This window comes from Homo sapiens, chromosome 7 (genome assembly GCF_000001405.40).
Source record: "Homo sapiens chromosome 7, GRCh38.p14 Primary Assembly".
Taxonomy (NCBI): Eukaryota; Metazoa; Chordata; class Mammalia; order Primates; family Hominidae; genus Homo; species Homo sapiens.
This window is the reverse complement of record NC_000007.14, coordinates 134,391,568-134,408,328: the sequence shown is the minus strand read 5'-3', so window position 1 is coordinate 134,408,328 and position 16,761 is coordinate 134,391,568.

Here is a 16,761-nt window from a genome sequence, read left to right as displayed (position 1 = left end):
ACAGCATGAATGCGCAATTAAGAACCTAATCATCTAAGGCAGGTCCGAGTGTGGGGAAGGCATCTCAGGCATGGCTCCTGAAGCACAGCCCTCAGGTACAGTTCTCTGGCAAACCATGCTTCTCCAAAGCCCTATATTTTGTTTCATGACTTACCCATGGATGTATCAAAAGGAAGGGAAAAGAACAATTTGACCATCTGCTATTTCAATTATCTCCCTACCTACCTCCTTATCCACTTGGCCCTAAAACTAGAGAGTGCCTGTATGAGGCTGTGCAAACACACACACACGCACACACACATTCACACATTGTGTGAAGTGGCACTCTTGCCAAATAAGCAAGACAAAGAGGATGACAACCAAGCAGGAATGCCAAAACTGATGTTTTCCTAATGAGAACAACAATGCAATGAGAAACAGAGCTCACGAGTGGCTGACCCAGCAGATGCCCCGTGGAGATACGAACTCTTCTTTAATTCTCCCTTAAGACCCCAAAAGAAGCAGCAAAGGAGCAGAGTGGGGTGGGGAGGGGGAAGGTTGGCCAATTAGGGACTGGGACAGCAAGGGCTGGAACCAGGAAAGGAACCGTGGAGAGTCCTACAGGGCAGCAGTGTGCCTGTCTTGCTTTAACATTCTAAGCAGGCATCTCTCTGATTTCTTGCAATACTGTTTGAAACACTCTCTATGTTCTGCAAAACGAGGGGTATAGAAACACTCCTCAGTGAGCATGTCTTCAGCTGCTGAATTGCCCAAGTGTGATCTGAGGCCCTCCATTCCTATTTAGTTGATGGCACGTCTTTGGCATTTTCATTAATTTCTGATAACTCTCTCAGGAATGGCCAGCTAAGCACTTTCTTCATTGTGCTATCTGTGTGAAAAGTCACATTTAAGGGTTCTCAGAGGATGATTTCAGATACAGATATAAAAGCTATCCCTGAATGCCACTCTGCTGGCTTTGCTGTCGTGCAGATGCTCTCAGAGATTCTATCATTCTTTCCCTATTTTTTGAAGTTCATTCTACAAAATTAACCTTAATAACCAATAGAAACCTTCATGTTTTTTTTTCCCTGCTGAAGGCACTCGACCAGAATTTTAAATCCAACCCTTTCCATCCTGTACTCAGCAGACAGGAGAAATTTAAGAGCCTATAGTCAATAGCTAATATCAATTCCCCTTGGCTAAGAGACACTGTCTGATCTTGGCTCCTTGGTTCCAATCATTTTGCCCTCCCTTATTCCATTTGGCCAAGTCCTTGCCATGAGCCCCAGTCCAGCTAGATCCTAGCCTTGGTTCCAAGGACTTCAGCACATCCAAGAACTGGAGAACATTCTATCCTGCCTGCTCCGAGGATGGATGTCACATTTTTTTAACTCAAATTTCTGAAGATAGATGGTGGCTCCACCTGGTGAGATATTCCCCTGATGCCTACTTGTTTCTGACTTGGCCCTTCTCCTTGCCACGGATCTTCTGGAATCCCAACTGCTCCCAGGTCAAGATAGGTGGGCTTTTGGCCACATTCCTCACTTGTCAGACCACCTATGAGAAACATGGGATTCATGGCTGGAAGGGACTTCAAACACTCTCTAGTCCAACCATTCAAGCATGCCTTGCCTGACAATAAATGCAAATCAATCAAACAACACCTCCGATTCAGAGCCCTCCTTTTCTCATGTTAAATAAGAACAGCTTAAAGTTAAACATTTAAAAGAATTCTTCCTAATTCTAAGGGCCAGGGCTGCATTACAGGTCTCAGGAATGCTATTTTTGAAGTGGTTTTAATAAGTCTGAAGCCTGACTATTATTGTCAGACACACAGAGCCCCGTTTCAGACAGCAAAGAGGTGGCAGAGGATGAGGGGGGACCTCACATACCTCTGATCTTCACAGCAATGGCCTCCCTGAGGCTGGGCATGGAGTCCAGCTGCCTCCTGCCTCCTGATTCAGTCCTTTGGTGAGGCCATCCCTCAGATACTATACATAAGGCTCGTGGTTAAGCAAAGAGGACTACCTTTATGGGTTTCAGTTTTTCAAATTCTGGAGTGATCTGATAGTCTGTGGATTTGAACCATTCTAGCTAAACCTTTAAGACAAAGTATGTCCTTCCTGGACTCATGGTGTATTAGTCCATTCTCATGCTGCTGATAAAGACATACCTGAGTCTGGGTAATTTATATAAAAAAAAGAGGTTTAATGGACTCATAGTGCCCCATGGCTGGGGAGGCCTCACAATCATGGCAGAAGGCTAAAGGCACGTCTTACATGGTGGCTGGCAAGAGAGAATTGACAGCCAAGCAAAAGGGGAAACCCCTTATAAAACCATCAGATCTCATGAGACTTATTCACTACCATGAGAACAGTATGGGGGAAACTGCCCCCATGATTCAATTATCTCCCTCTGGGTCCCTCCCACAACACATGGGAATTATGGGAGCTACAACTGAAGATGAGATTTGGGTGGGGACACAGCAAAACCATATCACATTGTCACCTAAGGAGCTCTGGACAAGCCATAGAAACAGCCTCCCACCTTCAACCAAAGCTGTGGATTTTCTTTGCAAAGCATCCCCTCTCCTAGAGCACTTCTTGTGGGTCCACCCTAGCCAGTTACACTGCTGACCGTGGGTCCTTGCACCAGCCTGGTCGGTATTTTTCTGAAAGTGCACCCTTTCATATAAGCTAGCCCATAGGACACCCTGCCAGGCTGGGTGCCCAAACACATTAGGGAAAGCTGAGGACATGAACTTACTGCTTTTTGTAGATGTAGAGAAGGCCTGACCAAGAAATTCTGGGAGGCCCATGAAGTGTGGCAGATTTGGGGCAAAATGGATTCAGCAGGGACACAACTAATTCAAGAGGTGCCCTGCTAGGGGTTCCAAAGCCTCGATGGGATGTTCTTTGCACCAAAACACCTGCAAGTTCATGGCATACACAGTAACAGTGACAGCCATGCCCAGGCAGAGGAAGAAAGGAAGCAGAATGTGGTTGAGCCACTTGTGGAATATTTATCGAAGCAGGTAGTTTGAAGATAGCTAGCCAAATAGCATCAAACTTCATGTGCTCTACCTAGCCGTTAAGCTAAATGTAACTAAATCCCTGGGAAGGGATAAGGCTCACCCAAGACTTCTCGGAGGGCTTGCAGAGGAGGAGGGTGAAATTGTACCACTCTCAGCTAATGCATCAACTGTCAACACAAAGAGCCCCAATATCTGGGGACCAGAAAATACCAGTGGGACCCCAAGTACAGGGAAGGCTCTGAAGGAAGTCCTGGGAACCACAAGTGAAGCACATCCCTTCCCACACTGGTGCAGGCAGGCACATGAAATCCATAGGAGACATTCAGACTCACAGAACTTACCAGTGAAAAGGCAATTTCAGAGGGAGAAAGCAGCCCTGATTAACGCACTGCAGCCTTTGAGAAGATTAATGCATGGACAGGGAGGAACCAATGAGTGTAATTTATTTAGACTTTCAAAAAGGCTCCATACCAAAGGCTATTTTTAAAAGTCACCGTGGCATCTGGGTTTTAAAGGACTAGTTTTTGAGGTTAATGCCTATGAAGACACCTACATTTTCTTGGTGCCAGAGCCACATGCTGTGGAGGACTGTTGACTTGTGCCCTGCATGGCCCTTTCTAAGCAGATTCTCACCTCCTCCTGCCCCTCAAGAAGTGACCTCTCTCTTCCTTCTTAACTTCCAACTTGTTCCACTTTCTATGCAATATGTAATTGTCTATGCGTGTCTTATCTCTGGAGTAGCCTGGAACCTACCTCAGGACAAGGGCAATGTCATATCCACTTTTGTACCCTACACAATACCTATGACTAGGATTCTATGACTCTAAATTGGAGAAGACTCAGTGATTTTTTTTTTTTTTTTGAGACAAGGTCTCATTCTTTCACACAGGCTGGAACGCAGTGGCACAATCATAGCCCACTGCAGCCTCGACCTCCTGGGCACAAGCAATCCTCCCTCCTCAGCCTCATGAGTAGCTGGCACTACAGGTATGTGTCACCATGCCTGGATAATTTATTACTTGTAGAGATGGGGAGAATTCTTTTATCTTTTTTTTTTTTTTTTTGAGACAGAATCTCACTCTGTCACCTAGGCTGGAGTGCAGTGGCATGATCTTGGCTCACTGCAGTCTCTGCTTCCTGAGTTAAAGTGATTCTTCTGCTTCAGCCTCCTAAGTTGCTGGGACTACAGGCACACACCACCATGCCCAGCTAATTTCTGTACTTTTAGTAGAGACAGGATCTCACCATGTTGGCCAGGCTGTTCTTGAACTCCTGACCTCAGGTGATCTACCTGCGCTGAGGCCATTGTCCCCACCCTTGTCACACACAGCTGCCCTTTCTCCGACCCCCTCTTGCTGAGCGGTCCCACCATGCACTCGCCTGGCAGTGGGCTTGGCTGCCTCCTGCTGGCTCATTGCTCATGGTCAATCCAGTTGGTCAAGTTCTGTGCATTCCTCACCCCAGATGTTCCCACATTTCTTCATCCCCACAGCAGCTGCCTTACCCTGAGCCTCACTGCTGCACCTGTATGACATCTTCAGATCCTGATCAAATTCTTCAAAGATCATGGCCAGTGTGTGTAGGGTTTCCCATGTCCCTGCATCTTTCTAAAAAATATTTTTTTGAGGCAGGGTCTTGTTCTGTTGCCCAGGCTGGAGGGCAGTGGTGCAATCACGGCTCACTGCAGCCTCAGCCTCTGGGCTCAAGTGACCCTCTCACCTTAACCTCCCTACCCCTCCCCACCCCCCAGTAGCTGGAACTACAGGTGCACACCACCATGCCCAGCTAATTTTATTTTTTATTTTTTATTTTGTTTAGTAGAGATGAGGTCTCACTCTGTTGCCCAGGCTGGTCTCTAACTCCTGAGCTCAAGTGGTCTTCCTGCCTCTGCCTCCCCAAGTACTGAAATTACATGCATGAGCCACCACACCTAGCCACACCCTGGCATCTGGATAGCTGTTGTTATCACTCCTATTGCCTTCCACACCTTCTTTCTCTCCCTTCTTCCAGCTTCATCCTGTAGTGAAATCCTACTTGTTAAAATAAATGCCCCCTTCCGCCACAGGGCCTTTGCATCTGCTGCATCCTTCCTTCTGAAACTCTTTCTCTCTTTTTCCTGGTACTCCTTCATATTTAAACTCAGTTAGTTCCCCAGGCTAGATCAAATCCCCCTCCTTTATACTTTTGTCACAATTTGTACTTCTCCATCAAAGCATTTAACACAGTTATAATTTTATATTTATTTGTATCATTATTTGGTTAATGACTTCTAACTCCTCTAGATTGGCCATGTCCAGTTTGGCTCATCTGAATAGGGCTGGCGTAATAGAAACTCCACAGGTATTTTCTATATGAAACAGTATAGAGAAGTGAACAGCAGCAAGTCCCCAACCTGGTCTAGGGGGGTTAGAGAGAGCTGCCCAGAGGAAGTGGTAAATCAGGGACCCTGAAACAAAAGTGGGGAGCAAAAGTGTTCCAGGCAGCAGGTACAGTGTTGGGAAGACTCTGGAGCTAGAAGGCCCAGAGTTTTCAAGCAGAGGTCTCGAAAATAGGACACATGTTTCCCAGTGTGTATACAAGATGGTCCATTAGGAAGCAGGAAGAAAAAAATAGATATGTTTATGCTAAATGTTCAGCTTAACTGAATAAGAAAGCAAGTAAGCTCTGCTACTATATAAGAAACAGGCTAAAACCAGAGGCTTCCTTAGTGCAGGTGTCCCAGAACCATGTGCCATGCAAGGTACATGATGTCTCCTGAAAGAAAAGTGGCCATGCCCCAGTGTGCAGCCAGGGTGTGTCTGTCACCGGAACTCACGGATGATATTACCTACTCTGAACCAGCCCTCACTAAATGCCACACAGCTTAAAGAGTCTCCTGCAAAGAATTCACAGATTGGTGGTAATACTACTAATGGAAGTATAAGTGAACACACATTTTTTTCTGAACTCACACTGTTCCTGCCTTAGACAAGCTCTTTGTCAGCCCATGATGAGATTAAAAATGATTTAATCAGAACTGACAAGAAGTTTGCCAAAAGAATACAAAATTATCACCAATTCTTTTGAAGTACGGCTTTGTATCCTCTGTTGTTAATGTTGAACCTTGTCTTAACCTAGCTTTCCTCATCTGAATATATTAGTTAATGGTGATAATACATGTAGACAGCTTTTTTATTATTTACGTATTTATTTTGAGATAGGGTCTTGCTCTGTCACCCAGGCTGGAGTCTGGTGGCACCATCATAGCTCACTGTAGCCTCAACCTCCCAGGTTCAAGCCATCCTCAAGTCATCCATCCTCCATCTTACTCAAGCCATCCTCCTGAGTAACTGGGACTTACAGGTGCATGCCGCTACACCTGACTAATTTTAAACAATATTTTTTGTAGAAACTGGGTCTCACCATGTTGCCAGGGCTGGTCTTGAACTCCTGGGGTCAAGCAGTCCTCCTGCCTGGGCTTCCCAAAGTGTTGGGATTATAGGCGTGAGCAACTGCACCTGGCAGACAGCTTTTAAGTAAATATATACACCTTGGAGTTTGTATGTTAGCATACATACATGGGAGCCTACATGTTTTCAGCTTGTTTATTTGCTGTTGTTTTCTCATTGAGGTGTGCAGTCAAACTATGGAAACCATTGTATCAGGAACTGAAAGGAGATCAACATGGCAGAACTGGAGAGTGGGAGAAGGCAATGTTGAGAAATTGGACTGGAGAGAGAAGCAGGGTGCATATCTCTATTATAGTATTTATCAGACTACTTATCATTATTCATTTTAAAAGTTCTTACTTGATATCTAGGGTTGACTTATACCCAATAATTTACATATCTGAATATTTTGTGGAGATAATTAATAACCTTCGTACAATTCTCTAAAGTTCTATGTCTTAGTAAACATTATTAATCTAATTAGTGGTCTGGCTCTCCCAACTATGCTGCATTCCTTGCTGTCAAAGAATCTAATTTTTATGATTATCATCATACAAAGTGTGAAATAGGTATGAATTATTGAATGAATTAATGAATGAATGATTTATCTATTGCTTTCTCTTTTGGGCATTGGAAGACAAAAGAACCTCAAAAACTCACATACAGCCAAAAGTTGATTTCTCTTTTTTGTAATAAGAGTTTCATGGGCTTCATTTAATGTACACTCACATAGTACCTTCTATATCCCAGACACTAGTCATCCTGTCCTCATAAAAAACCTAGGAGTAGGCACTATCATTGTCCTATTTCCAGATGGCAAAGCTGAGGTGTGGCTTGATGAGGCCATATAGCTGTAAGTGGCCAAGGCAAGAGTCAAATGCAGGCAGCCTAGCTGCAGAGTGTGCTTGTAACCAGCACATCATGGCAAGACCTGCATGTCAGCTCACACAGTTACAGGGTTGGTGTCATCAGAAGGTGCTCAGTGTAACCCGACAGCAAAATGCCCGCCATAACCTTCCTTACCCCTCAGCAAAGACTACCCTTCAAAAGCAAATAGGGAAAAGCCAACTGAGATTCAAAGGCCTTGGCTTCACATGGCTACAAACGATAGGGCTCAAGTGAAGAGCTCAACTTGACAAAATAGCAAACTGCTCACAGAGCCATGACACTATATTTAATATTTTATTATGGAAATTATCACATTCCAGAGTGTAGAGAAAATATAATGAACCTCCAACAATTATTAACACATGGCACATCATTTTCATCCACAAGCTTACTCCTCCATTTTGTCTTTGTTTTTTGTTGTTGTTTTGTTTTGGCTCCTTTGAGACAGAGTCTCACTCTGTCACCGAGGCCAGAGTGCAGTGGCACAGTCTCAGCTCACTGCAACCTCTGCCTCTCAGGTTCAAGTGATTCTTATGCTTCAGCCTCCCAAGTAGCTAGGATTACAGGCACGCACCACCATGCTGGGCTAATTTTTGTATTTTTAATAGAGATGGGGGTTTCACCACATTGGCCAGGCTGGTCTCAAACTCCTGACCTCAAGTGATCCTCCCACCTCGGCCTCCCAAAGTGCTCGGATTACAGGCATGAGCCACCGTGCCCAGCCCCATTGTTATTTTTAAGTAACCTCCTGATCCCACATGATTTCCTAATGGGACTTAAAAATATTGTATTACCCACTTAGAAACTATCTAGGCTTGACGTCAGAAGACTTGAATTTGAGTCTTGCCTCTACAATTTTCCAGCTTTCTGTCCTTAAGCAAGTATTTCTCTGAGCCTTAGTTGCAACATCTATAAATTATGGATGGTAATACTTGTTTCACCATATGGTTTTGAGGATTAGATAAGTCAACATGAGTGAGAGTGACATTTAAACTTTAAGGTCCTCATTGAACCTCAGCACAACCCTACTTCTATTTTGCCCGACCACAAGGACTGTCATGGTTCATTTTATGTGCCAGCTTGGCTAGACTATGGTGACCACTTGTTTGGTCAAAGACCAGTCTAGATGTTCCTGTAAAGTTATTTTCTAGATTATATTATTATTTACAATTAGTTTAAGTAAAGCAGATTGCCCTCCATAATATAAGTGGGCTTCATCCAATCAGTTGAAGGTCTTCAGAATGAATACAGATTTCCCAAAGAAGAAAGAATTCTGCCTCCAGGCTGTAACATAGAAATTCTGCCTGGGTTTCCAGCCTGAGGACTCAAGGCTGCAACATCTACTCTTCCCCGCATCTTTCATACCTGCCATTTGCCCTACAGATTTTGGACTTACTAGCCCCCACTATTGTTTGGCTTCAGGTTGAGATAGGTCAGCAGGAGTCAGCAGGTGATTGCAGGGTGGAGGGAGAGAGAGGTTGGGGTATTTCTTCCCATGGCTTTTTCCTGGTAGGTTGGCTCAGGCTTCTTGGCCCATCTACCAAGGTGGTCCTCTCACTCCCCAGGACTCGTAGTGCTTCCTCCCCTCCCCTCCAGGTGATGGGGTCATGATGCTCTCCCTATGTTATTTGCCAGCCCTCTGCACATCCCTTGTGTTTTCCTTACATCACACGGTGCCTACACCTTTGCAAATAGTCTCTTTATTGAACGCTTCTCAATTACCCAGCTCGAGAGTGCCATCTGTTTCCTATTGGGACCCCAAGTGATACAGATGCTAGATAAAACAATTTAACAGAGAATCCCTACTAGGTGGATGAAACAGAGTCACTAAGAATTCCATTTGGAATACTTTAGGTGCTCATCAGTATCAGTTTTCCTGAGTCCCCAAACTGTCATGTTCCCAGTTCTCCAGCTCTCTGGGAAACAGCTAATGCCTCCCCAAAGCCCTCCACCTCCCCTTCCAAGGCATCCCCAGCTGGGTGCTGAAATCACTCAGAGCCCTCAAGTTTACCCTTGACCATGACCCTGAGTTTATAACCGTCTTGGTGGCTGGGGGGTGGGGGGACCCCTTCCCCTTGCCCATAGCATCACTGATTTCCTTCTTTCTGTGCCAACCCCCAGCAGCCCTTCCCAGTCCACAGAGCCTCGTTGTTTCTGGGGACTGGCCAGCCCACCACCTTGGAAGCCAGCTCAGACCCAGTCTTCAGTTCCCAGATCGCGCCTCCCCTGCCCGTACACCCTCACATACACATGGAAAAATACTTTGGTTATTTAGGTTGCTATGATCACTTTTATTTTAAATGTAGTGATTCACAGTTATGGCCCTTTCTGCAGCACTACGCAGTTAATTTCCACCCAGAGCTAATTGTATATCCTTTCATTTTCCCCACTACTTCCCCACGGTGGTTCCCACCAACACTTGCTCCCATAAATGTGTATAACTCCACTCCAGATATTAGCAGTGTGTTTTGAAAAACACATCAAATTTTACCAGGAATCTGATATCATATTCAAAGCTAGTCCCAGCCTTTCCTTCTTCGGCAGCTTACTTTGGAAGCTGCAAAAAAAAATCCCTTCTTGTTTATAAAAAGTTAAAATAAAAAAAAAAAAACTTGACCTTGATTTACTAACACAACAGTGTGTGGAAAGTTTGCTTTAAATAATTAAAAATACTAATAAGCCACAAAGCAGCCCTTCTACTCTGCTATGGCGAGATATGTTCATTTTAACGAGACAGTGATACAGTATAGTGATTTTGATGTTCCCCTGATTTCATTAAAATGGGATTATGTGTGGGTGGGCGTGTGTAGCCATAAGTACAAACTCAAAGACCAAAAAGTAGAAAAGCTGTTTGAAAGTTAATTAAAATGACCTTCAGGATTTGGGGACAGCAAGAGAGTAAACACCATCTCCCAGCTGGCCACCCTCTCCCTGCCACGGGCATGCGGTTTGGAGTCAACCTATTGCTGCTTTTGGAGTTTATAACTCAGCTGGTTAATGATCTGGTCTGTGGACATGAATACTACCAGCCCCAGAGTCATCAGCCAGCTGGAGCCCCTTTGACATCTTCCCCCATCTCCCTGAGGCCATGGCACCTTAAAATAGGGGCCCCTCCCTGAGTAAATCCATTCACCTTATGTGACCAAAGGATTTTCTACTCAGTCATGGTGAGAAGCAGCCTGGGACAAGGCTGAGAGTCGCTGGGGACGAGGACTGCTAGGGACCGCAACTGCTGGGGACCACAGCAGGGACCTGGGCATCCAGGCCAGCCTGACCTCCTCCCACGATGAGTTCTGAAGCCCCACAGCACGCCTGACACCTCCAACAGGCCTGGCCTCCACCTGGACTGACCTCCACTTGGACTGACCTCCACCTGGACTGACTTCTACCTGGTCTAATACCCACCTGGCTTCACTCCTTCCCTGGCTTCACCTCCCACCTAAAAGAAAGGTCCACTCCATCCCCAAAGCTTTTAAGAGAAACGTAACTTCTCTTTTTCCTCATTAGCCATCAGCACCCCCACTTGGGAACCACTTAGAAAGAATAGGTGAAAAATAAAGAAGTTCACCTTGGCTGGGCTCAGTGGCTCATGCCTGTAATCCCAGCACTTTGGGAGGCTGAGGCAGGTGGATCACTTAAGGTCAGGAGTTCAAGACCATCCTGGCCAAAATGGTGAAACCCCGTCTCTACTAAAAATACAAAAAAATTCGCTGGGCATAGTGGCACACGCCTGTAGTTTCAGCCACTTGGGAGGCTGAGGCAGGAGAATCACTTGAACCCAAGAGGCACAGGTTGCAGTGAGTCAAGATCGTGCCATTACACTCCAGCCTGGGCAACAAGAATGAAACTCCATCTCAAAACAAAACAAAACAAAAAAAAGAAATTCTCCTCTCCTGGGCACCTCTCACAGTCTGGCTCCCTAAACCCTCCCGGCTAATCATCCTCCTCTCTGCACTTACCCCACCATTCCCTTCAAACCTACTTAGAGAGAGGGTATCACATGGCCAAAGGAAATAAAGACGTTTGCCATCGACCTCTTTGCCTCCCACATTTTCTCTCTGCAATTGAGCAGCATGGCTGTGTGGTGAGGGGGTCCGTGGGAAGATTCAGGTCTCTCTTGCTAGTCTGTCTTCAGCACGCCTTGGGAAGAGCCTAGGCTTCAGGGGCAAGCAGCCCTGGACACCTTCATTACCCGGCGACCCTGAGACATTATGTAACCTTGCTGGGTCTGTAGCTCCTCATTTATCAAGTAGGGACAACAATAGGTCCTAAGAATGGGATAATTCTGAGGATTAAAAGTAATTGGGGTCTCTGTCTCCAATTCTAATAGCTTGGAGTGGCAGGGAAGGGAGTGGCATGGGATGGCACAGAATGGAATGGAATGGAAGAGAACACTGGGACGGAAGTGGAGTTCCCATTGGAAACTACACAGATTTGGTTACTGGCAGCTGGCCGCGTGCTGAGGTTCTTCCAATCCTGGAGAGGCCCCTCTTTAAAGAGGGAAGGAATGATATTGCACAGGTCAGAGGAAGCGGGAGTTGAGGTCAGTTTTGCTTCCATTCCCAGGAGCTCCTGAATTAAAAATTCTGAGGTAGGTCTTCAATAACACAACAACACAACGTTATCAACCTCAATCACGACAAGGGCACAGATTTGACATTTTCTTTGGAAGCTCATAGTTATGTGCCAATTGTGACTATAGAAGTCACAAGACTGGGCGAGTGGGAAACCCTTGCCTGGAAACGAAGAAGTAGTCAAAGTGGCTTCACTGAAATACTCCCTGACTCCCAGCACCTCTCACAAGTGCAGTGTGCTCCCTAGAGTTTCAGTTCCCCCAGCTGCATGGGGAGCCAATCTCTTCTTTTAAATAGTTGAGAATGTTAAATGAGACATGATCTTGATTCTGGGCTCGGCTGTGAAGGTTTTCCCCACCAAGTCCAGAGGACTTGGATCAGGTCTCCTAGTTGCACTCTTAATCCCACTGCAGCCTATTCTTCTCACAATGGTGAGATGAATCTTTTAAACAATAAATCAGATGGTGTAACTCCTCTCCTATGATCTCCCAGGGGCTCCCTATCTCACTCGGGGTAAAATTTCAAGTCTTTCCGGTGACCTACAAGGTGTTCCATGACTTACCCTCCCGCTCCCCCACCCCTCACTGTCTCTTTAAACACATACCAACCACAGGGCCCTTGCACTTCCCTTTCTTGGCCTGGGAGTTTTTGTCACCACATGTTCATGGGACTTGCTCTGTCACTTTTAAAACTCTTCTCAAATATCAACTCATCAGTAAGAGCTCCCTAATCTCCTAAAGAGTAAAATAGTTCATGCACGTGCATGCCCACACACACACACACCACACCATTACTTTCCATAGTGTTATACTGCTTTATTTTTCTTCATACCACACATTACTACCTGACATAATACACATTTTTTAAAGCAATAGACTTTATTTTTTAGAACAACTTTAGGTTTACAGAAAAATTGGCAGAAAGTACAGAGTTCCCATATAGCCCATTGTCCAACACATGTACAGTTTCCCTATTATTAACATCTTGCATTTATGTGGTACATTGTTAGAACTGATGAACCAATATTTGATACATTTTTATTTTTTTTTAGACTGAGGCTGGCTCTGTCGCCCAGGCTGGAGTGCAGTAGCATGATGTCGGCTCACTGCAACCTCCGCCTCCTGGGTTCAAGCAATTCTCCTGCCTCAGCCTCCCAAGTAGCTGGGATTACAGGCACCCGCCACCATGCCCAGCTAATTTTTGTATTTTTAGTAGAGATGGGGTTTCACCATATTGGTCAGTCTGGTCTCAAACTCCTGACCTCAGGTGATCCACCCACCTCGGCTTCCCAAAGTGCTGGGATTACAGGTGTGAGCCACCACGCCCAGCCTGATACGTTATTATTAACTAAAATCATAGTTTACATTCCAGTTCACTCATTGTGTTGTATAGTTCTATGGGTTTTGACAAATGCATAATGTCATGTATCTGCCATTACAATATTATTCACTGCCCTAATAATCCTTGGGCTCTCTGCCCTTCCGTCCTTCCTTCCTCCTCCTCAATCCTTTGCAACCACTGACCTTTTTATTAATGCTATAGTTTTGCCTTTTCCAGAGTGTCACATAGTTGGAATCATACATGTAGCCTTTTCAAATTGGCATTTTTCATTTAGCAGTAGGCATTTAAGGTACCTCCGTGTCTTTTTGTGGCTTCATAGCTCAATTCTTTCATTGCTAAATAATATTCCATTGTATAGATGCACCACAGTTTCTTTATCCATTCATTTATTGAAGGATACTGTGGTTTCTTCTAATTTTTGGTAGTTATAAACATTCATTTATAAGTTTGTGTGTAGACATGAATTTTAAACTCGTTTAGTTAAATACCAAGGAGCATGTTTGGTAGATTACATGGTAAGAATATGGACAGTTTTGTAAGAAACTGTCAAACTGCCTTCCAAAGTGGCTGTACCATTTTGCATTCCCACCAGCAGTGCATGAGAGTTCCTATTGCCTCATATATTTGCCAGCATTTGGTGGTGTCAACGTTCTGGATTTTACCCTTTCTAATAGGTGTGTGGTGATATCTCACTGTTGTTTTAATTTACAGTTCCCTTGGAACTCAGCCTACCAGCGGCCCAGAGAAATTAACATTCCTTTGCCATTAACTGTGTGTTGTTGATCTCTGCATGTTCAGGGCCAGGCGAAGTATTTTAGGGACGGAGTAGGTGCACAGTGATTGCATGTGGAATGAGTTGCAGTGGTGTGGAATGTGATAGAATGCAGTGGCAGGGAAGGGAGTGGCATGGAATGGCACAGAATGGAATGAAATGGAAGAGAACACTGGGACAGAAGTGGAGTTCCCACTGGAAACTACACAGATTTGGTTACTGGCAGCTGGCCACATGCCGAGGTTCTTCCAATCCTGGAGAGGCCCCTCTTTAAAGAGGAAGGGAATGATATTTCAAATGTCAGAGGAAATGGTGGTTGGGGTTAGTTTTGCTTCCATTCCTAGGAATTTCTGAACAATTCTGTATTTCCTAAGCAGCATCCACCATGGGCTGCAGACTTGTCTGAGCTCATCCTGGGTCCTGATGCAGCACATCCCCTTGGCATCAGTTTGCATAAGTGAGGACCCAGTAGGCTGCACAGGTCTGATTCAAAGACAAGAGACTTAGTCCCAATGTACTGATGGCAATTAGGGTCTCTGTCTCCTCTTCTTTTTCTATGTCTGTGGCCTCTGTTTTGCCCATAGTCAGCTTCTACACAAATTCAAACCCACTTATTGTTTTCCATAAGAAATCAAATCAAACCAAGAATAGTTTTTAATGATATTAGTGAAGATGAATCACATTGGGCAACACATGAGCTCCCACTACCTTGTTAGCTTATTCTTCCCTTTTACTGTCCCTTTTCCTTCCCTAAGATAAAATAAAAACACAAATAAATAAAGTTCGTTCTCTTTTCTTCTTATACAGAATAGTTTTGACTATGTCTTAGAAACCTTGGCACCAGAGAACAGCCATGCTTCAAAGGAATTGACTACACAAGTGAGCTTATCAAGACATTTTCCTCCAAAAGGCAAGTCTCTTCCTAAGATAAAGTTTTATACCAGCTACTAAGGGGATAGCAATTTTTTTTCATCTCATTGTGCCTGGAAATTGCAGCTGAGAATAAGGCATCTGTCACAAAGACCATCTCCTGGTCCAGACCCCAGGTGCTTGTGGCTGAGTTCTGCAATAAAAGAGCAAGTCAAATCTCAGAGAGCTTTTTCATTGCTATCTCCGCAGGGCTCTGAGAACACAGGCACCCATACATTGGTCCCAGCAGCTTTGCAATGGTGGGTGATAGTGCCAGAGGCTTCAGAAGTGCACATAATGACTCCTGGCTCAGACATCTAGGCCTTCAAATCAGACATCAGGCTGGTGACCTAGGTGAAGGGTCCATGCCTAGATGATGCTTTTGGAGTTGGCTCAATCTGGCATCAGCCAATGAACAGGAAAAGGAAGACTACAGATGCCACTGCATAGCCAAGAGAACTAATGCATAGAATTCATATGAGACACCCTCACCTCTGGGGCACCTTGAATGCTCTGAAAGGAATTTGAGTATGAAAGAGATTAACTACCCTACATTCTGAGCAGATGATAGCTGGGTGACCTAACAGGGGACTCTGCATCAGATTTCTATGCCAACTGGGAAAAAAATTTTCATTGTATGGAAAATCTTTCCGTACAATGAAAGATGCTCTGTCAGTTTGTCTTCCATAGCACATGGCAGTGTGGCTTGTCTTGCTCAAGATTATTTAATAATAACCTCAAAGTGTGCAGGAAAGACAGCTTGGTTAACCTGGCCCTCACTTCTCTTCTCTAGTGCTCTCCTGTCTTCCTTTCCATGTCCTCTCTGGGAGACACAGATACATGGACAATGTTACACAGGTGTGTTTTGCTGATCCAAGAAAGGGCAGAGACTGCTCCATCTCTGGTACAGATACTCCCACCTTTCCATAACAACTTCTTTAACCCCCAGGCCTTTCCCAGATATTCCGGGCCTCCCAGGCAACTCAGTGAATACACATAAGCTAAGATCTCAGTGCCTTCGGATAACTCATGCTAGAATCCAATCTTGTAAAGTTAAAAGGCCTGTTCCTATAAATCTCAGAGCAAGCCAGTGGCTTTATAGCTTGCTACATAGTTTAATCATTTTTACGATGTGTGAGCTAGAGCCCATTCTCCCATCTACTCTGCACTCGTTGTATTGTCATCAATATCCTTCCAATCTCCTTAAGTTGTAAATAGATGAGCCACAAATTGGGGGAGTTGAGAGGTATACTGAAAGAGAGTTGAGAGTTCAGTGCTCTTGAAAGCTTTACTTGATGTCAATACTAATTTGTTTTATCTAGTGATCTGCATGGGAATAAGCATAAAGGGAAAAGGGAAGTTTGTGTTAATGGTGATAACTTATACTTGAGTTCATGGGGACCGGCAGCTTCCATAGAGACCCTTTTGTCTATGATGGGATTCTAGGTTGTTTTTTCTCTCCCAGGACTCTGGGTTGTGTAAGCATTACCTCCAGCCAGAGGCAGCCAGATGCAGAAGGTCCTCTGACCTCACGCCCTCTGCCTCCTCAGCCCCATAACTGCTGCTTCCTCCCTAGCACACAGAAATGAGTTTCTCATCAGCTTCTCAAAGGCTGTGTGTTTTGACCTCAGCATCTTTTCTTTCTCCCAAAGCGGAATGCCTTTTTCTGGACCATCCACTCCACCTGCCTTCTCTTCTCCACACCAAACTTCTGTGGATTTTCTCTTCTGTGGGTTCCTCAGTACTTTAAACCAGCACCAGTATCTGTAGTTTTCCCTCATGCTATGTGATATAGTTTGGATCTGTGGTCCCTACCCAATCTCATGTTGAATTGTA